Source organism: Homo sapiens, chromosome 7 (assembly GCF_000001405.40).
Source record: "Homo sapiens chromosome 7, GRCh38.p14 Primary Assembly".
Taxonomy (NCBI): domain Eukaryota; kingdom Metazoa; phylum Chordata; class Mammalia; order Primates; family Hominidae; genus Homo; species Homo sapiens.
The window spans coordinates 15,290,014-15,312,623 of NC_000007.14; the positions used below are offsets into that span (position 1 = coordinate 15,290,014).

Genomic DNA, 22,610 nt, shown 5'->3' on the forward strand with positions numbered 1-22,610 from the left:
TTGGTCCACCTTAAGTTGATTTTTTTTTTTTTTTTGAGACAGAGTTTCACCCCGTTGCCAGGCTGGAGTGCAGTGGCATGATCTTGGCTCACTGCAACCTCTGCCTCCCTGGTTCCAGTGATTCTCCTACCTCAGCCTCCTGAGTAGCTGGGATTAGAGGTATGCGCCACACACCTGGCTAATTTTTGTATTTTCAGTACAGATGGGGTTTCACCATATTGGTCAGGCTGGTCTCGAACTCCTCACCTCGTGATCTGCCTGCCTCGGCCTCCCGAAGTGTTGGGATTACAGGTGTGAGCCACTGCGCCTGGCCAAAGATCTCTTAGAACACTTTTCTCATAGATGATTAGTAGATGTTGAGGGTGTGGGAGCATAGAAAATTTTCTAGGATATATTGTTAAGGAACTTTTGGATTAAATAAAAATCTACGAAATTTTCTCTTTGAAGGACTTCTTAAAGCCTAAGAGAAGATAATCAAATACACTCATTATTATCTTCTTACTAGCTGCAGTTGAATGGCTCTCATATGCTTTCTGTTGTTCTAAGTGAGGTCCATCTTGAACATAAGGAACAGGGACTGGGCCTACATGTGGTCACATAGAGGAATGGGCACCAGGCAGTTGGTTTATATCATCATTTGGCATCATTTGGTGAATGTCTTATAGATAGTGTTTAGATTAGATAGGTCACATATACCCACATTCCATTTTATCAAATCATCAAAAAAATTATTTAAATTGTACCTATGTCAATATTTCCCAAACTTTCGTGATGATTTTAAAACAATCTGAATGATAGTTAAAAACAGGTATTTTGAGATCTTACACTAGACCACCTGATTCAGAATCTGTAGACAAGGGGGCCATTAATATAGAATTTCAATTTATTTTTCCAGGGGTTCTTATTAAGAAAAGAAAAGCTAGAAAATAATATATTAGGATGGATAATAGAGTCTAGTCAGCCAAATTTAGCTCCGTTTTTTCGAAAGTGCATTTTATTCATTCTTGTGTGCAATAAAACTCAAGCTTTACAAATTTTCTGGGTGGCAGTAATCCCTCTGCATATACTTAGAATATAATAATATGTGCAAGTCTGATGATATTTACAATTTCCCTTAAGGTCCTTAGATGGTGCACATTACGTTTCTTATGGCATGTAAACTTTTAATTTATCTTTTTAAAATTAAAATGTTTGTGGTTAAGTCTAAGGTAGGTGTATATACCTACATTAAATATTAACTCACACATACATAACTATAGAGATATATCGACAAAATTAATGCTTTAACAACTTTTATCCATTATATCCAATGGGAAACGTTACGATTCTATAACAGATTATATATTCCTGAAACATGAATATTTACACAAAGCAGATGTTTTCTTCAGCTCTATTGTATTTCTAACTTTGCCGGTATAGTGTTCTTCTTAAGTATGACTCAATATTTGTAATATGAAATTTTTTAAATTTGGAAAGTATTCTTTGTTTGCTTAAATATTAAGGAGAAAGAAACTCTTTAGAACCCATGGAATAGTATCATAATCTTAAAATTTCTTTTTTCAATTTTCAATGTATTCATCACACACACACAAAAAAAAACTTGTCAACTGAAAAGCTTTTTGATGCTAAGAACCCTGCTAGGGTTGAACAGTGGGTACAAAGAGAGGATTGAAACAGAATACCTAGCCTAACAGGATTCACGGCCTAGCACAGAAGATGAACATATAAATGCATCGTAGAAACATCAGGGGACAAATGCCAAGAAGCTAGAGGCCTGTGGGCATCTGGTAAAAACTCATAAAGGACATAACCTGAAAGAAGAGCAATGAAGGCAAAACAGGAGCTTCCTTCTGGAGAAGAAAGGGAATAGCATTCCCGGATACAGTAGGGGGAGCTCAGGAATTGGACATGACCTGTGTAGATTGTGGTGACGGAGTGTGACAGGCATGAATGCGACCACGTGTCAAGTATAGAAGACTCAAGTAAGCCAATAAAAGAAATGCATTAAAAATTTCTAAGGTGAATTTAGACTATAATCTGCAGACAATGAGGAGTCAAAGATTTTTTTACAAGAGTGATACTGTGAGGTGGGAGGGATGAGAAAATAATACAAATTAGAAGGAAGCTGTAATATGCTGTGCAAGAGGTGATGAGGGTTTAACCTGGAGGATTCAGAGCAGAGATTCTTCATCTTGGCTAAACATTTGAATCAGCTGGGGAGCTGCAAAAGTATAATGGCCCAACAGTACTTTAGATCAAATACAGCAGCATCTCTGAAAGGGGTGAAACCAAGGCATTTGTACTGTTGAGAGCTCCCTTGGTGATTCTAATGTGCAGCCACAACTGAGAAGCAATTACATTGTCGGTTCTAGTGGGCTGAATGGCTGACGCGTTTGGGTGATAAGAGCAAGGAAAACGTAAGATTGGTTCCAGAGATTCTTACTGGAGGAACTAAATTGTTCAGCATTAACAATGATGCAAAATATGAGGACGACTAGTACTGTGAACATGATAGTGAGTTCAATTTTTAATATTTTAAACTTAAAGAAAAGCATGTTACAATATTGTAGAGGTTCTTTCTGCACTTGTTTATAAAATATTATTTTTGGGAGAAGGAGAAAAGCTCCTACGGACAAAATAAAAAGAAAGACAAAGAAGAATGTAAATATTAAGATTTCTATCAATAGAATCTCTGAGTCTCCAGCCTCTGGAAATACAGTCTCCTCCTTTTTTTTTCCTTTTTTTTTTTTTTTTTTTTTTTGAGACATAGTCTCACTCTTGTCTCCCAAGCTGGAGTGCAGTGGCGTGATCTCGGCTCACTGCAACCTCCGCCTCCCAGGTTCAAGTGATTCTCCTGCCTCAACCTACCGAGTAGCTGGGATTACAAGCACCCGCCACCAAATCCAGCTAATTTTTTTTTTGTATTTTTGGTAGAGATGGGGTTTCACCTCGTTAGCCAAGCTGGTCTCGAACTCCTGACCTCAGGTGATCAGCCCTACTTGGCCTCCCAAAGTGCTGGGATTACAAGTGTGAGCCACTGCATCCGGCTCTTCCTCCAGTTTAGCCTGAGTTGTTTATTATTTAGCTTCAACAAACAATCACATATTCATTCTATGAGCCAGGTTTCATGGTACAGGCTCAACAAAAGACAAGTAAGACTTAGTTTCAATTTTACTTAAAGCTTATTATCTTCCTTCCAGACTCTGGCCGCTTATATCCCTGTCCTTCATTAGTAAACGTCACTGAGGCAGGGCAGGATTTACCTACCCAGAAGCTGGATAATTCTTACAATGAAACACTAAAACTAAAGGAGAGATCTAGAATTAAACAGCACTATTTATCTCGTGTTGCTGATAGATTTCAGCATATAACTAAACCGGGCGGGTTAGGTAAGGTGAATATGTGGGTAGGGGGATAAGAGTGAGAGAAGGATTTATTTGCCTCCAGATGATCTCTGCATGCGTAATCCTAGTAAAGTTCAGATTACCTCTATGCACCAACCTATAATTTATGTAAGTTATAAAAAAATGTTGAAACAACAACAACAAAAACTACCAGGGTACTAGTTACAAAAAACTGTTAACATCTCAGCTTCTACTCTAGTTCCTCACACCAATGATTAAATTCGATATTCAGGTGTTCAAAGAAAGATCAGTATTTGATAAGTGAATAATAATAATGTAAACTACGCCTAATTCTTTGTATTTTTGTGTGGTTAAGCAGTACTCGGCCTTTTTGCCAGTGAGTATTAAACTAATATTTTATGCAAGTGCCTTGCTTAAAATAACACATTGTCTTCATCATCCCCAATTTTAAATACTTCTGTGTTCCTAACACTTGTGTATATTTAAAATGTTGTATAAAATTTAAAGTATTCAGAACACACAGAGGTGCAATATCTCTGAAGAAATAATGTTATTAGGTAAAGTTGAATTTAACAGAAGGTCTAAGTAAAGAGATGTTTAAGAAAGGAGAGTTTATAGCTTAACAGTGACTAAAATTTATTAATAAGTAGATGTTTTAGCTCAAAGTATTTACATTTAATGAATAATTAAATTTTTGAAGTTCAAAACCTTGAACAGGTTCCAGAAAATAAAGCAGGTTTTTCAAACTATGTGCCAAGAAGCTAGTAAATACTATTTAGATTCATAGTAAAACAGAGTCGGCATTTAATCATAGTGGAATAGATATAACCTTTAAGATATTATTTTTTTCTAAAGATATTATCACATATAATACAAACCCACAACAACTTAGCTATAACATGCTAGAAATATTCCATTAAAATTGAAAGCAATACAGATATATCTCCTAATATTTCTGGAGGTCCTTAAAAGTACAATGAAAGACATGAAACAGAAATGAGAAATAAACACAGAAAAGCAAGAGAGTAAATTGGTCAATAAATTGCAGAACAACATAAATGTAGAATAATATTTAACATACCAATAATTTCAAATTATAAAATACAATAAAACCTCAATTTCAACAACAAAAATACAAACTGAATAGGAAAAACTTGAAAAAAATGTGTGCGACATGTATTTTTAAAGGTCTTAAAATAATACTACAAAATATTTTCCTAAAAATGTGAATAATTTAAGATAAAGATAATTTGAGGCGATGGGAAGGCTGATTGCTTTAAAGGTGTTAAGTGTTTACATATTTATTTGGAAGATGAAAACTGTTCCTATCTAAACATAATTGAGAATTGTTCGAGACTTATTAAAATATTCTAAAGTGTATCTAGAGATTTATCCTGATGAATAAAATATCTGACAAATGGAAAGCAATATGTAGGCTGCATATGATAATTTAATACATTATAAAGAAAACATATGCAACTGAAAAGTCATGAAATTTATCGAAAAGTGATACTTTAACAATGAATATGAAAACATAATTTTAACTTCCACGTCATAAACCTAAATAATGCCTAAATAAAATAATAATTAAAAATTATGGAAGAAACTAAAATCTAATAGGGAACCAAATATATTTTTTAAATACCTCAATAATAAGAGATGTATTTCTCATTATTCAAACTATGAACATAATTATAATTGCAAAAGAAAGGAGGAACAGTTAATAAAAACATCCATATTGAAATATACATATAAAATTAATAGCTACACAAACTATGAAAATATTTTTAGAATATAAAACAGAGAAATGATTTGAGTATTTGTTGTATACAGGCCTCATTCATATTAAGAAAATATATACTCCTTTAAGAATTAATGGACCAAAAAAGCCTACAAAGAGAAATGTATCTATTTATTTCTTCAAAAAAATATTTATTGAGCACAAACTATAAGGTAAGCAAAGCACTGTTCTAAATCTGAAGAAAGGGCAGCAGATAGACAATAAGCAGTGCCCTTAAGCAGGACAGATTGACATTAAACAAGATGAGAAATTGTGGTTTAATATATTAGAATACAATAATTGCTATGGAGAAAAAGAATGCAGAGAAAGAAGAAATGTGGGTGATAGTGGGAGGAGGCAGACTGTAGCTTCCAATTAACAAATAAGTAGTTGGAGAATTACAATGTAACCTAAAATTTAATCCTCGCTATTAATAGTATAATTTTGATTAAAATAATATATAGATGTTTTGAAAATAATGAAAGTTAATGGGCAACTATCATTCATGAAAATGTATAATGCTATAATTCTTTCCAAAAGCAAAGTGGTATATTTATCAGAATTCTTAAGAATGTTCATAACCCTTGACTCAGGAATTCCAATTCTAGAAACTTAACTGAAGTAAACAGAATTAGAGAAATAGCTTTTAAGAAATGCAATGCTCAACGCAGTTTTAACAGTCAAAATGTTAATAAATTTGGAATTGGGAAGACTGAATGTCCACCAATATTTACACAGAGCTCAATGTTATCCTTATACACATATTTTCCGTGGTCATTAAAAATTATGCCTGCAAGACCTATAAATACATGGAAAATATTTTTAAAAATCAGATAATTTTGTTGTATATAAAATTTTCTTCAATTATGTTTACATATGGAAATGTTTACAAGCAAAACAAAAATATTTCAGAAAATAAAATATGTAGAAATAATTTGACTTAAGATGTTAGTCTTTTTTTTCTAGAATTACAGACTTTTATAGTGAATGGGACTATACAATCACTAAGTTTAACTTCTCAACCAATATAGTGCCACTCCACATTATGCCTAAAAAGAGTAACTCTTTAGCTAATGTCAGAGATAGAGGTCCACTCTCTGCAAAAATAGACTTCTACGTAACTTCCATGTTATCCTACAAGCCCTAAGTTTATCTGACTAAATTACAAGTTCCAGACTGGGAACATATGAAAGGATGTAAGACAAGTGCCTTACTCATTTGTCTAACCACATAGAATTTTTCCAACTAGAAGCGTGATATTAACAGTTTCTTCCCTGTGCACCATCGTTGAAGTCCAGATGGACTGGACTGTACCGTCACAGCTAAATTCCCTTGCTCACAGTGCCATCCTTTCCAAGAGAAGACAGCCACTCTTTTCTCACCTCCTTGTTAAATAAAGTCTTCCTCATGGTTTACATCATGGTTTTTATCCTCCTTATTTAATAGTATAAATAACATTTGTAATAATAAGCATAATAACAGCAATACAAACACATTATAAAAGGACATAATTAAGAAGTAACTAGTGGAGATACTTAACAAATGTAAATTCTGTTAGTCCCTCTCTACCCCAAACCACAATGTAGGTACTTTATTTCACTTTTCCAAATTAGGAAACTGGTGTTCAGGAAGACCAAATAACTTGCTGCAGTAACACAACTACAAATTTAGCTGAGCGGAAATTTGTCCTTGAGTCTTAAAGAAGCCAAAGCTAGTGTTTTGTGGTTCTTTCTTCCATTTTTCCACATCATCATAACCTTCCTAGGATCCTTCAGCTAGAACAAATCTCTTTTCCGTTTCTCAAATGTACTTTGAATGTGAATTTTAGGCTACCTTGTATAATATTACGGCTATTCATACCTCTCTTTCTCATACCACCTAGCCATCTCTCTCTGTCTCTCTCTCTCTCACACACACAGACACAATCAGTACAGAGAAGAAAATATTTGCTCAACAAATACCTGCTGAACTGACCTAAAGAGAATTCCAATTAACCTATCACCAGTAACCCTTTCTTAGCTGTTTTAATTTCAGTATGAAAGATAGCATAAGTACGAAATCCCCCGAATCTACCATCAAAGACCAACCCTACTGACACAGAACTGTAAAAAATGTAGAGCAGTGAAAATGGAAAATAATTTTAATACTTCTAAAGGACAAGAGTACATAAATCCTAGGTGGTGCTACATTTTACTATTGTAGTTATTGGCATTATGGAATAAAGTTTTAAATGGACTTTTTTCAAGTCAAATATCATTACAGAAATGGGGCTATAACTGTACACTGTGGTAAATTTTCAGCATCTAATGACTCATGAGTGCTTGCCAAAACATGCAGATTTTGAAAGAAAAAGTTCAACTCTTTTTTGATTTACTACAGAGTAAATCACAGAAAAGTTAGTGTTGCATTTGGCCACGAAGTTGAGAATAAGATACAGAAATTAGCAAAATAAAAATATCTAACTAGCTTAATCCTTTTCCTGGGAAAAGAAAAATATCTAACTAGCATACCCCCCTTCCTGGGAAACTTTGATCACTACCCTGTGAAAGGTTTTCAAACAATTATGAATGTATTTGCTCTAAGAATATTTCCATGAAATTATTGTCATATATGGAAAGAGAATTATATGCATTTAATGAGTTGACTGGAAAGTAGGCAAACATGAGTGAATGAGGTTTGTATAAAGAATAAATAATAGATATTGAACTAACATAAAATCCAAATAGCCAGGAAGGCTATTCTTATTGGTTAAATATTTCTTATTACAAAGAATGCTGAATTCAATGTTCAAAAGAAATGTTTTAGTCCATTTGTAAGATCATTACCGTCTAAAGGCAATACTTTAATTCTAGGTAAGTCAGTAACATATCCCATTAAAGGGAGCCATACAAATTTATGTCCTCTGTGTTTTGAAGAGGACATGTTATAAACAAACATATTATGTTATGTTATGTCCTCTTTGTTTATCTTTAAAACTGAGAAACAGATAGACTACTTGTGTATAACAAGCATCATACTGGCAGAAAATAACAAGTTTCCTTATAATTGTATTAATGTGATAAAAAATGCAGTAAGAATATTTAATTAGCTCAACACATAATTTTAGCTATATCGTCTACTAAATCAGCTTTCTCCCGTCTTAATCATTTGCCTTCATACCACTTCAATCATTCAACCAATGTGATCAACTGTATCCTCTAATTATCTCATACCTCTTTTATGATTTTCTTGTGTGTCTGTGTGTGTTTGTTTTTGAGACAGGGTCTCACTCTGTCACCAAGGTTGAAGTGCAGTGGCACAATCATGGCTCACTGCAGCCTTGACCTCCTGGGCTCAGGTGATCCTCTCACCTAAGCCTCCCAAGTAGCTGAGACTACAGATTACAGGTGTGTGCCAACATGCTCAGATTATTTGTGTATTTTTTGAAGAGACTGGGTTTCTCCATGTTGCCCAGACTAGTCTTGAACCCCTGGGCTTCAACAATTCACCAGCCTCAGCCTCCCAAAGTGCTGGAATTACAGGGATGAGCCACCACACTCAGTCTATGTTTTTCTATATCAAGCCACTCATTAATTTTAAGCTATAGCCTATTAATTGTCATACCTGCCTCCAATCTAATAGAGAAACAATGACCATTCTATTCTTTTGTCTAAAATTTATTACTACTGATTTGGAATACAACTGCTTTAGTATAACATATCTTCTGATTTTCTTATTGTCCACCCCTCTAATTCATCACTCTTTGTCTCGCTCACAGTCAACTATTTTCATTTACCTTAACTCCCCGTGATATTTCACACCTCATGTCTGTTCTCGTTATTGTCCCCCAGGACTCCCTACTTTGTGATTTCTAAGTATCTTTCAAGACTCAGCTCAAGTGTTACCTCTTTTTGAAATTCATCTCTAGCCACTCTTTCATCAACACCCCAGTAGTTGGATTCTTCTTCTCATGCATCTTTTAAGGTTAGCTAGAACTAAAATTCAAAGTGTGTTTTTTGCTACATATGAGTTATTTACTCTGAACAAGTTAACCTCACTATGCATCAGTTATCTCATCTGTATAATAAATATAATAATATAATAACAATATAATATAAAGGTTATTGCTTCAGTGAAAGTAAAGTACATTGCCCAAAATATTTAGGTCTTTTTCTCTGACCTGTGCTGTTTATACTTATGTAATACTGGTAAGAGTGGTTTGCCCTAATTTATTTTTTGTGTCCCCGAGCAGACTCTCTGAACACCTTGAGAGAAAATATGTAGTAAATTACTCAACTCTATCTCAGCACCTAATCTATGAGTACTAAGGACTGATATCCATTTCTCATGCGAGCATTCACTAAGGGCTAATGCTGTGTTTCATGGATTGGAAGTATATATTATATGGCCAGGTGCGGTGGCTCATGTCTGTAATTCTAGCACTTTGGGAGGCCAAGGCGGGCAGATTGCCTGAGCTCAGGAGTTCTAGAGCAGCCTAGGCAACACGGTGAAACCCAGTCTCTACTAAAATACAAAAGATATTAGCTGGGTATGGTGGCACACACCTGTAGTTCCAGCTACTTGGGAGGCTGAGGCAGGAGAATTGCTCGAACCCGGGAGGTGGAGGTTTCAGTGAGCCAATATTGAGCCACTGCACTCCAGCCTGGGAGACAGAGCAAGACTCTGTCTACATACACACACACACACACACACACACACACACACACACACACACACACACACACACACAGTATGTTTTGTGTTCAACATATCCTTTCCTCTTACTTAGCAGACAAGAACATGTAAAGAACAGACTATATGGGCAAATAGTTACAGAGGGAAGAAAGCTGTGAATACTATTAAATAGAAACTGACCAAAGCATGGAATTTGAGAAGAGAAAAATATTTCCATCTTGACAGGGTGGAAGAATGGAGGAAAAATAGAATTGGAAGTAATAGAAAGGAAATGAGGAAGATTTTAAGGAGTCTATAGCATTTGAGTTGATACTTGGAAAGATAGCTAGGATTGGAACAAAGAGATACCCAAGAGATCAAGTTAGAAATATCAGATAGAGGGGAAAAAATTAAAGCACAGTGAGGGAAGTGCTGAGTATGTTTAGTTGCTAGCAAATAAGTCTACTAAAGTTCACAATAGCAAAACTGGTTAGTGTCTTTCACCAACAAACATAGAGTCCAGATTGATGGTTTGGCAGCTTAACCAAATTTGGGTATGTTGAACATCAAAGCATATTCTTAGGCATAGCAGCTACGTGATGGGATTAAATTATCACAGTTGTACTGACATCTTCAAAGCCTTGAACAAGTGGCTGACACATTCATTGTTATTTAATTAAGGTGAAGAAAACTGAAAAAAAAATCAAGAAAATGCTTGCTACAGTTATTTTAAAACCCTTAAAGAGTGAAAGCACAGAAATAACCTTCAAAAGAAAGCAGCAATTTTTCTTCTTGCTGGTATCATTTAAATACAACACTCATACTACACTCAAATGTGAATAGTAACAGAGCATTACCTCATCTGATGAATGGAAGAAGCTATTTTTCTACCGCTAACTGGCATGAGAAAGAGTAAAACTCCTGGAGGAAATTAGCAAATCTTAAAGGTGTGGATGACATTCTGTAGCACTGCTTGTCCAAAAAAAATGACACAAATTACAGCACTGAACTCTAAAGCCAAACAACAGCAAGCACTCTCTCCATGGCAAAATGTACTTTTTTCCTAGGATTAATCTCCAAACATGCCAAAATTTTAGTGTCAATTTGCTGTATATTACAAGCATCACTAAGGAATCAGCTGAATCTATCTGTCTCTCTCTTAAATAGACACACACATATACACAGAGGAACTTTCTACTGGAGAACATAAGAAAACACCTTTTTATGCTCCAGAAAACAATCATACATTTAAGAAATCTTTTCTATATTTATATTATTTCAGTGATTGCATGTGTTTGTGGGTGAAATTAAAAGTGTTATTGATACTAATTTAAAAGCAAATGCTGGCCGGGCGCGGTGGCTCATGCCTGTAATCCCAACACTTTTGGAGGCCAAGGCAGGTGGATCACTTGAGGTCAGGAGTTCGAGACCAGGCTGGCCAACATGCTGAAACTCCCTCTCTACTAAAAATACAAAAATTAGCTAGGTGTGGTGGCACATGCCTGTAATCCCAGCAACTCGGGAGGCTGTGGCAGAAGAATCACGTGAACCCAGAAAGCAGAGGTTGCAGTGAGCCAAGATCACGCCACTGCACTCCAGCCTGGGAGACAGAGAGAGCTTCAGTCTCAGGAAAAAAAAAAGAAAGCAAATGCTGAATATGTTCTCAAAATGAAGGCAAATACTGTTTGCTTGTTTTTTTTTAAACCAACTAAAATTATACAACTAGTTCTCAATACATTTTCTAAAACCAATACAATAAGTGGTAATTTAAAAATCTATACAGATGAATATGTAAGCAAAAGCATAGGAATGCTAAAAGGCTGAATTCACAGTGTTGAAGGTCCACGATACTTTTAGAGGATAATAGAAATGTTTTAATTTTCATTTCTTTTAAAAACCCAAGAAAAAATGACTATAATAATATTGGATACATAACAGTGAAACCAATCTGAATTACATACATCTTTTTAGAAACACTGTTGTATAATATAATATTTTTACTGTTAAATTTTTAACAGCTGAATAATTTTTTATTATATAGAAATGGGCTCAAGAAGGGCTCAAGAAGGCAAAAGTGCCTAAGGCTCATGAAAGTCAAAATGTCATCCTGCCTGAAGTTACTTCTGGTGCTGAAAGAAGGGAAATAGTATCAGAGGAGAATAAGTAAAGAGAGCTCCTCAACTTTTTCTTAATGTTTTATTTACTTAAAATATGTTAAGTGGATATAGTATAATGAGATTTGATAAAACCCTTTGTGGTACATACAAGTTTGCCTGTTTTTGCTAGCATTTTGTTTTATAATAATTCACAATCAAAACATTAATTATCCTTTTGAGTCAATGAATTAATTGGTACTTATTAGATTTTTAAGGATAAAATTTGATAATTTCTCTTGAAGATAAACTATTAGTTTGGTCTTCATCAAATATTTTTTACCTCTGAAATAAACATTCTTTGGGAAAAAATGTGTCACATCATGAGAAATTTGATTTTAATTTACAGAATTCTTCTTCTAACCAAAAATTAGACCATGAACTTTCTTCAAAAATTATATTGGTTATGGACTTTTAACAGGGTATGAATAAAGTTGGGGTCTAATAAAGTTGGTATGGCAATAAAAGGTATACAGTATTTCCACCAGATTTTATTTCAAAATTTATTATTTTGTTCTAACTCTAGAACTTAATAAGAACAAACTTCAAAATATAATACAGAAATTAAAATGCAAAGGTTCCTTAAAGATTAAAATCTTTGAAAATGACAATTAAAAAATACATAAATCAAGGAGACTGGCATAGAGCTTTTAGCGCAGTACTTGTTACAAAGCAGGTATTTATTTTCTAATATATTAGCTGTTTTCAATTTAAAAGTCTATTTTCACTAGACTGTAAACTCCATGAAGAGAAGCCTTTTTGTTTTGTTTTGTTCATTGCTGTACCTCCATCATATGGTACGGTTGCTGGAATACAGTATGTGTTCAATTCATGTAAGTCATGGAGCAGTCAACTAGAGTTAAGCTTCATAAAGATAGGACTGAAGCCATGAAATTGTTACTGAGAGTAATAATTTCTGCAGGCATTACATCTTGACTATGTTTGTAAAAAATAAAGTCAGGAAAAGTATCTATATATTTGTAATCAGTACAAAACCACTGCAAACTTGGTTGTATTCAGTGAGTAAATCTAAAGGATCTTGAAAGCTGAATGTCTGGGATGGTCAATGAAAACCCAGGAGGAACAATCCACACAGGGAGAACAGAATTAATTGTATTCTTACAGCCATTTCTCAAAAGACAGCTCAAAATGCAGATGGTTTTGAAAAAAAAGTGCAGCCCACAGATGATATTAAGATGGCGGCACAGATGCAGAGAGAAATGTATCTTAATAGTGACTTTATAATATGCTGAAAATACCAAGGAGTTTTCAGAATGGTACATTCAAATTATAAAATAGTATCTATCCCCTAAATTTTAATTAAATGTCAGATTTTCTGTATTTTTGGCTTATTTTTGTATTTAAGATACATTAGGTAAAAATAAAGATCTTTTTTAACATAGAAAAATACTAGCAAGATGAATGTCTAATTGTGTATTTGGCATCAAACAAGGAAGAGAATGGAAAAACAGAAAAAAAAAAGAGAGAGAAGGGGTGGTGAACATCTGGGGTGGTTTCTTTTCTGGAAACAGGAACAAGGTCATATCCCACCCAGTGAGAAGAAATGACCCCCTAAAAAATGTAAGTGATCTTGCTTGACCTGTGACGCGAGCATGGGGATGACCTCGGCTGTTTAACTGCAATGTGTGTTTCTTGTTAGAAAAAGTGAGAGAGTTGTGCTCTGCCATAAAAGAATGTGAGGAATATGAAGGTGCTAAAAAGCAGAAGAAGGAAGTGGAGCATGGGGAACTTGATACAAGCTATGGAAAAATGAAATATTAAGTTAGCCCTGACTTTAGAAATGTTTGGTAGAAAAGAAAGATACAAGGAAATACATGTATGTATACTCTTGTATGTTTACCCCCACACACAGCACATACACATATATTCTTGTTGCTGTGTTTAATTGTGAGGATCAATTCTTTCTCTGATAATCTCTTAAACTTTTATCGTTAAAATCATGATATAGACCTGGAAGAGAATAGGTCTGTGGGTATATCTCTAATAGCTCAAAATATCCAATACGATTTTCCATGAACTCCTAGAGGCCCAAGTCTAAAATAACAAACTTGTGTTAGTTCAATTTTCAGTCCTTTTACATATAACAATGCCACGTCAATGCCTTTATGCAATGCTTGACGGCATCCTCTTAATTTTTTATTCTATGAAATAAGTGGGCTCTCTGCTCAAAATATTAATAGCTGGAAAATTCCCCCATTACAATACAAATGAAAGTTAACTTTAAATGTCTTGACCTACATAAACTCCTAACATTTGTTTCATCTTTTAAAGTCTCTTTCATCCCTTTCTCTTCTCCAGCTCTCTCGATCCCCTCAACTCCCTTGAGGTCTTCTCCACAGAGCCCCATTATTTAATAACAGCGTACCCAGCAAACAGCTGTGGAAGGGAAGAATTGGATTGAAATTCAAGGCCAAACCAGGACAGAAATTTTGGGTACAATCTCAAATCTGTTGGTATAAAGAAAACTGAAAATTTTTGAGTTTTCAATTTTGCTATTACTAAATGGTGGTGATTTAGGGTTTGTTACATCAGTTTTATTACAGAAATATAAGGAAGATAAAGTGGAAAGATTTGGGTTTGTCAAGTTATTTGTAATAAAAATCTTATTTATTCAGTTTCGTTATGAGTCAAGGGTTCGGTTTATCTGTTTCAAAAGTCCCTGATTCGTACTTTATAGGGCCATGATTTGTCAACAGTCCAATGAACTCAAATAAACCGACATATTTATTTTATAGGATGTTGTCTGCATGAATGGAGATGAAATTACTAGTAAATTGTCAACTAAAAAATACAGAACTGGAAAATGATAAGCCTTCCTCTAAGCCCACCATCATATATTCTCATGAAAATCTGAGGCATTATTATTATTCTTTCAGTTACACACAATGTTTAAGAAGAAAGTCAACTATAACAAATGATTTAGTTAAATCTTGGAGAGCACACTGGATAAAAATTTTCTCTTGCTTCCCCCTTCCCCCAGGGTTTCCCTCCTGCCATCTCAAAGCAGGATGAGCTAGTTGACATTGAGTAGTTAAAATCAAACTTAATATTAAGAATATATAGTTATATTTGAAATATATAAATAAAAGTGTTACTAGAAGTGATTATCCAGTAACTTGTGGTAGCACCTATCTTAGGTACTTATTCATCATCTCACCATGGATTTTCTCCTTATTTTCCTTTTACCATCCTGCTATTCTCCACCAGAGGGCAGGCAGGGGCAAGGACAAGGCAACCTTGTCAGGCAATCTGGTTAAAAAAAAAAAAAAAAAAGTTTGATAGGACAGGAAGTGAAAAATATTGCCTAAAATAAGGTTTGAAGATTATCTGCCAATTTTGTATATTTTTCCATATCCCCATCTCTCCTTGATATGGAAAAATGAGGATTGGCACTTATTGTGAGCAATTTGAGTAAAGTATTTTCCGTGCATCTGGGTTCACTGGTGAAACATGAATGATCAAAGTTCAACATGTTGCATCAATTTCTTTTCACCTGGCAAAATGAGTTTTTGTGCCAGTTTTTAAACCTTGTGTTTTCTGTAGTTACTTCCTGTGAGTCGAATGGTTATATTAAATATGAGTAACAATTTATAATTTTACTCTGACAGAAATTACTTCAAAATTACATTCCTATATATATATTTATATGATTTGGCTGTATATCTGATCTAGAATTTGTAAAGAAGATCTGGATTTTACTGTAGACATGCAACTAATTTACTAGGGTACTATAGTTATATAAGCAACTCGGTTTCTACTGTGTCATTATAAATGAAGACTAGAATTCTAGAGAAATCATACGGAAGATTCTGTGAACTGTACTTGTTTTTCCTCCAGAAAGGCACTAAGAATGTGTAATGAATCATTAGTAAAATGGCACTATGGGTACATGAACGAACCTAAAAGAACAAATCTTTTTTTAAAGACTGATTTCATTTTAAAATTCCAGATAACAAAATTTTAAAGCAACCAAAAAATCAAGTATCTTATTTTTTTCTGGTAATTCATAAATTCTAAACATTTAAATATGACTAACATAAATTTTATGGTAACTATAAAAAGTGTATCTTTTGATTAAGAAAAACTTTAAAGAATAATTTAAAGGCTAACAGATTGCATCCTTCAATATCTACTTTAATTAACCGACTGCCATTACTCACTTTACATTTCCTTTCACATCACATTGTACTCATCTTAAATGGAATCAAAACTTTGACATGCACTGACATTGACTTCATTAAATGCAACGTTTTGACATTTTTGAAGGTCTTTTTTTATTTCATACTAATAAATGGAAAGGGTTTTGAATTTCAATGGCTGAAAGGAAGTCAGATTTTAGTTATATGAATCCAGGGTAACTTCATTCATGGATCAAAAAGACCCCTTGGGGCTTACAAAATCTTTATTATTTTCAAGCTACAAAAAAATAGTTTGGTAGAGAACTGGATAATAGGAAACATATTCTTCTGCAATCAATGCACTTTGGGGTGGTTTCCAGCTGTGAGACAGTCACTCAAACTTAAAAGTTCTCCAAAGTTCTCCTTGGCCTGGAGCCCAATTTCACTTATAACAGAATATGACTGTGTAAAAAAAAAAAAGCATTACAAAATATGGCAATTTGTGTTACCTTGCTAAAAAGTTAATATGGTTTATGGCACTATTAAGGATTGTTAATGCTTCAAATAGTTAGATTTTAATGTTTAGAATTAGCACAATTTAAGTTTTCACCTACTATTTTAGATTGTACTAGTTCTTATAGGCTGAGGAATATGTCCCTAAACTAAGATTTCTACTTTATTATGCTAAGTATGCCACATTGGAAAGGGCTGTTGGAGAAACATAAATTATTCAGTTAGTGTATAAAATATTATTACAATAAGTTATAATCATAACAGAGGTAATGAACTCTTTGTATAAAATAGTTTGCAATATTAAATGCATACGTTACAATCATGAGAAATAATCATTAAAGCATACTGAATTTTGGTGAATTTTAATATAGAAAGTTGTACAAAGATCTACACTTAAAATTATTCAAAAACGAAATAATTATAAAGTGATTCCAAAAAATAAGTTTCCATTTGTAATTTTGCAGTTCACCCATCACTAATAGGACAAATCTACTAGTAATGATGATGACATTCATATATTACAATATCTTATTATCCAGTCTAGTTATCTAGTTGTTAACAGTCTTGTGAGAGGTGAGGACATAATTTATATTCCCTTATGACAGACTGTTCTGCGGCCATAAAACGTGGGAATCCTTGTTTGACATGACTTGTCTTCAAAAGCCAAGCCCATCTATTTGGAAGAAACCTTGAATCACCAATTTTATCACATGGTAAAAAGTTAAAATAGGCATTTACCATTACTTATAAATATAGTTCAAAATATTTAATCTAAAAGTGACAGTGCCAGTGGTGAATAAAACTTTATTTAGATGGGCTAATCAATTAAACTCTAAAAGAACAGGACTCTAGTTGATTTGTTTTAAAACTAGTAAGGATGTTCTGAAATAAATCAGTAAAGTATACTAGTTTTTTTTTTCTTATGAAGCCTATAAGAAGGACACTATAATTACCTAATCATATAATTGTATTAAAGCAAGGAACAATAAAACATTTCCCAAGGTGATTGCTTCTATGCATATAGTTTCAATTACTATCTTCAAACTGACACTCAAATTTACACCTCCAGCTCTCACCTAGTTTCCTAAGTTACAGATTTGCAACTGAGATTTGGATATCTCACAGTAAACATGCCCACAAACAAACTCAGTATCTCTCCTTTCAGATCTTTGCCTTTTCCTGGGTCTCCATCTCAGTGCAAATATGGACTCACCAATTCAGAAATTTACAAGACTAAATAAGACCCATACCTCCTTCATATCCCACCTCTGAGCAATCAGTAAACAAGTGTGATGGAGTTTTTATTTTATGTCTCTCTCTTGTCAATCCTATTAGTTCCTAACGCCTAATGGTTTGACCTAACTCTATTCTCTCCCCACTTTCTAAATACCTGGAATTTCCCCACAAGCTTCAATACCTCCAGGCTTGCTGGTCCTCACTACACCCCTTCAGTTTTCCATCCATTACCCACAGGCTGCCAGGAAACATTTCCAAAAGAGCAAATCTATTTATGTCATTTCTTTATTTAAAGTATGTCTGTTCTAATTTCAGAATGGAGTAAATTCTGCTTATCCTGTATGTTCATCCCTTAACAATCAGACTTTTACCCCTCACACAAGCACCATCAATCCAAATCCTTGGTTACTCTCTGAATATAAATAATTTGTTATAAATTTGCATATTTTTTCCTATTTAAAAATTTATCCTTGTTCCTTTCACTACTGACCTTACCCCCACACTTCTTTTTTAAGGTTTTGCTCATTCACCTCATTTGAGAAGACTTTTCTGACCTGCCAATGTCAGATTTCACCTCTATACTCTTACAGCGTTTGCTTACTATCTACCTACATCATGGTGTTTTTCACTATGCACAGTAACTGTTTGTTGTCTCATTTGCTTGTATTAACTCATTTGCTTGTCATATTTGCTTGTCTCATTTGTTTGTCTCAATTTACTGTAAGCTTTCTAAAAACAAGATTTATGCCTTTAAATTATTTTTCACCAGAGCAATGTTTCACCAAAATGTTAAACAATGAAACCACTTAAAACTTTTCTGTAACCAAAGCTCTTGGATTTTCCTGTATCTGTTGATATATTATTACAGCACATATAATGAAAATATAACAACTAATGTGTTATGTTTTATAATTCTCAAAGGCCTTCACATAACTCTTGGAAGCCACCAGTGTTTTTTACATATTGTGGATAAAGAAACAAAGTTTCGCAATGGTTAAATAATTTACCTAAACACATTCAGTCAATGTATGGTAAAACAGATTCAATCCAATTTGTTAGACTTCAAAGTCCAGACTTGTGGTTGGTCAAATGGAGTGATTTGGTTTGAATTCACAACTTAAACGCTTACTATTTGTTAATGGTAAGCAACTTTACTACTCATGCAATTATCCCAAGTATTCAGGCACTGGGCTGAAACCATTTGCTCCATCAGCCACATCAAGCAATAGTTCATCAGCAATAGTTCCTTAGACTAGTTATTCATTAAACACTCAGTATGAAAGAGACATGGCCTTTATAGGAAGACAAGCCCTGCTAAAAATCCTTTGGGGGAACATCTTAATTGCAACTACAGGCACACGTAATGAAGAACTATCGTTATCCTTACTGAGCAGTTTTACAGACAGGCAAGCTGAGTAGGGCCAACATTTTTTTTCCATAGGAGTACATCTCCAAATTTTTGAGTAGGTACCAATAAAAAAGATGATCAGCAGAGGGGAAATACTTTATACATTCTTAACAGCTCTCTGTGTTGTGAGAATCTTCAAATGTATCAAAAGAGTTATAAAACAAACTTTCTGGGTGGGATAAAACTAAGCCAACTTTGAAGTCCAGTGCCCTATTGAAATGTACTTTTCTCCATTTCCCCTAAGCGTCAACATAAGATCTCATCTAGCCAATGTAAGTCAGGTGTTGTTTTCATTGAATTTTATTTTTAAAGAGATATGCAAAATGTTAGAAAAGACAGGTCCCTAATTATTAGTTTTCTATATAATGTAGTAATATTGTAGGTGCATATATATGTATGTGTAGATTTGTGTATATATCCTCTCTAAAATAGACTATTAGAGAGAAAATAACCTTAGTTATTATTATATTTATTCCTCATCATTTTAGAGAGAATACAAATAAAGCCCAGAGAAGTTAACTGGCTTGCCTAATGTCCCTCAATCAAAGATCATTATGCCATTTAATAAACATTGTTCCCCATCTTTAATAAATATGTTATCTATTGGAAAGTATACTGGCTCCAGGTTCAGCAGAAGTAAGGTTTAATTTTCCCAATATCATCTTTGCAGGTTTCCAAATTAGCACTATATACATTTATATCCCTTCAGCTTCATATAAATTTTATGATGAAAAAATATATCATATTCTGTCTGGAAGGAAATATTTGCTCATCATGGTGTGTCACAGGATTCCACTCCCAAGCTCCCCACATGCTTAGTGCCTGTTCTTTCTGGATTAGCAGCTGCTATGAGCAAACACATAGCAGTGAGGCTGACGAACTTGGCACACTTTAAATAGATCAAGTTTGGTTTTAATTTAAAGAATAATTTGATTCAGTAATGTTATTTAAACAAATGCAAAAGTGCTCAAAAAAATCACATGTAGTAAATGATCAAAGCTGTGGTTATTCAGGTTTTTATTTGCTAAAAATATCAAGATAACATTTTTAGCAAAAATTTCATTCTTAGCTGCATGACTCTGGAGTAAGGGGCCCCTGCAAAAAAAATTCAGTTTCTATCCTTTGCCAGAAATAAACATATTTGGTTTCCATTTGGAAAATTTTGTCTTTTAGCTTTAAATCAATCTGGATTTAAGGTAAGGAGTATCAGTTACTAATACTAAAAAACAAAATTAAATAATTGGATCAGACAAAAAAGTCCTTATTTTCCTATATCATGTTATTATAATATTTTAAGTAATAATGTGTCTAATTAGAAATTTGGAAATTATATTTTTGTTATTTTCATACTTTTAATATTTAACTACATTCTTTATAAAATGAGGGAGTGCTTCTATTTCTGGTAAGGCAGAGTATACTATTATCCTATTGCTGCTGTTTCAAATAGCCACAAACTTAATGGCTTAAAAACAACACAAATTAATTTTTTACAGTTCTGGAGGTCAGAAGTCTGAAATGGGCCTCACTGTTCGAAAATCAAGGTGTTGGCAGGGCTGTGTTCCTTTCTGGTGGCACTAAGGGAGAATCTGTTTCTTTGCTTTTTCCAGCTTCTAGAGGCTGCCCGCATTCTTTGGCTCATGGCCCTCTTCCATCTTCGCAGGAGTAATAGTGAGTCCTTCTCAGATCACCTCACTCTGACTCTCCCGCCTCCCTCTTCCATTTCTAAAAACACTTCTGACGGCATGAGGCCCACCTGGACAATGTAGGATGATCTCCACATCTCAAGGTCAGCTGATTTGCAACTTAACATATTCACAGGTCTGGGAATTAAAACATGGACATATTTGGGGGACCGTTATTCTGCTTCCAACACAAGGTGAACAACTCTGCTACTAAAAACAAAACCAAAAATGCTAGATTAAAAAAAAATTATCAAAAGCACTGAAGAGCTAACTAGAGAATTATAGAGCCCCAAATCCAAACAAATATGGAAACTCATATAGCGCAAAAGCTACTTTTTGGCTGAGGACATCTGTGCTCTAGTAGAGGTGACATTTTTGACATTTTCACTTAGAAAAATAAGTAAAAATCCAGGAAACATGCCAGGTTGGGAATCTAACAGAAAACCCTCCCCACATTAAGCTGGAACCTTAAATGATCCTATCCTACCTTTCCAAAACCAAGTTAGTACAGAGAAAGTTGCTTAGGCCTGAGCAGAGGTAGTAAAAAAAAAAAATTTCAAGAAGCTGCAATCGCAAACCAATCCGGGCTCAGATGTGCAGCCAAGTTTGTATCAGTTAGGTGGACCTAACATCTGCTTTGGTAAAACCTCCAGCTGCCTGACCAAAGCAAATACAAATTCCCTCTGGAGGAAGTCACCATCATTCTATGTCTTAATAAACCGCTATATAAATTTTTAAAAATCAGGGACCAATACAAAATAGGAGGTAATAAATTTCACAAGAAAACAAAGCATTTAAGTGAGAACACACACAAACAGTGGAAAATAGAAATTGATCTGTTGAAATTATCAGACATATATTCTAAAATAATTCCACTGGCTATATGTAAATAAAAGATACATTTGAATCTATTTTTAGGGAAAATTATGCTAAAAATGATATATTTTAAGAAGACAGAGATGCTAGTAATAAAAATTACAATAACCAAAAACTGAAAGTAAATGGATGGGTTTAATATCAGATTGTAAAACCAAATTAGATACACCTGAAGAAAGCATTTGTGAGCTGTTATGAAACTCTCCAAATGCATCACTGGGAGAAAAAAATAGATGAAAAATGAAAAAGAGAATGAGACAGGGAGAGAGAGAAAGAAAGAGAAACAAACTTAAGAGACATGGAAGATAAGAGTTGAGAAAGTCTAACAAACATGTAATTAGAGTTCCAAAAGGAAAAAGAAAGAGAACTGGGTAGAGGCAATATCAGAAGAGTAAAAAGCTGGAAGTCTTCTAGGACTGATATAAAAATACAATTTAATAGCTTCAAGAAGCCAGATGAATTCCAAGCATGATAAATAAAAAGAAAGCCAAGCCTAAGTACATAATATTAAAACAACAAAACACTAAAGACAAAAAGGAAATGTTTTAAGTTGCCAGAACAAGGGGAAAATAAAAGGCAAGTTTCCTTTAAGTAATTGAGTGTTAGAATGAGGGCTGACCTCTCAAGGGAGTCATGGAAATCACAGGACAATCAAATGTATCTTTAGTGTGCCCAAAAAAAACAGCTGCCATTGTAGAATTCTATACCCAGTGCATGGCGGGGGCGGTGGGGGGAGGTTATCAGGGGGAGGGACAGGGCTGTGGTGGAAATCTTTCAAGAATAAAGTTATAAAGTTGTGAATCAA

General features: G+C 34.1%; 1 protein-coding gene and 1 long non-coding RNA gene across 7 annotated transcripts in view; one reads left to right on the forward strand and one right to left on the reverse strand.

Annotated features, from left to right (window-relative positions):
• AGMO (alkylglycerol monooxygenase) overlaps positions 1-22,610 on the reverse strand; it is a 444,793-nt gene that overhangs the window by 172,791 nt on the left and 249,392 nt on the right. The window contains exon 13 of one of the 6 annotated variants that reach the window (XM_006715731.3): positions 11,385-15,221. The exons of 4 other annotated variants lie outside the window; for them this stretch is intronic. In XM_006715731.3, coding sequence (XP_006715794.1) covers positions 15,213-15,221 — 9 coding nt within the window. In that variant the 3' untranslated portion in view covers positions 11,385-15,212. Of the gene's footprint in view, positions 1-11,384; positions 15,222-16,221; positions 16,553-22,610 lie in introns of those variants that run through there. One more of the 6 variants, XM_006715730.1, reaches the window with a different exon arrangement.
• Positions 1-22,610, forward strand: part of LOC124901592 (uncharacterized) — a 75,595-nt gene that overhangs the window by 52,858 nt on the left and 127 nt on the right. Inside the window, exon 2 of the long non-coding RNA XR_007060218.1 lies at positions 20,855-21,033. This is a non-coding gene — a long non-coding RNA (uncharacterized LOC124901592). The remainder of the gene's footprint in view (positions 1-20,854; positions 21,034-22,610) is intronic.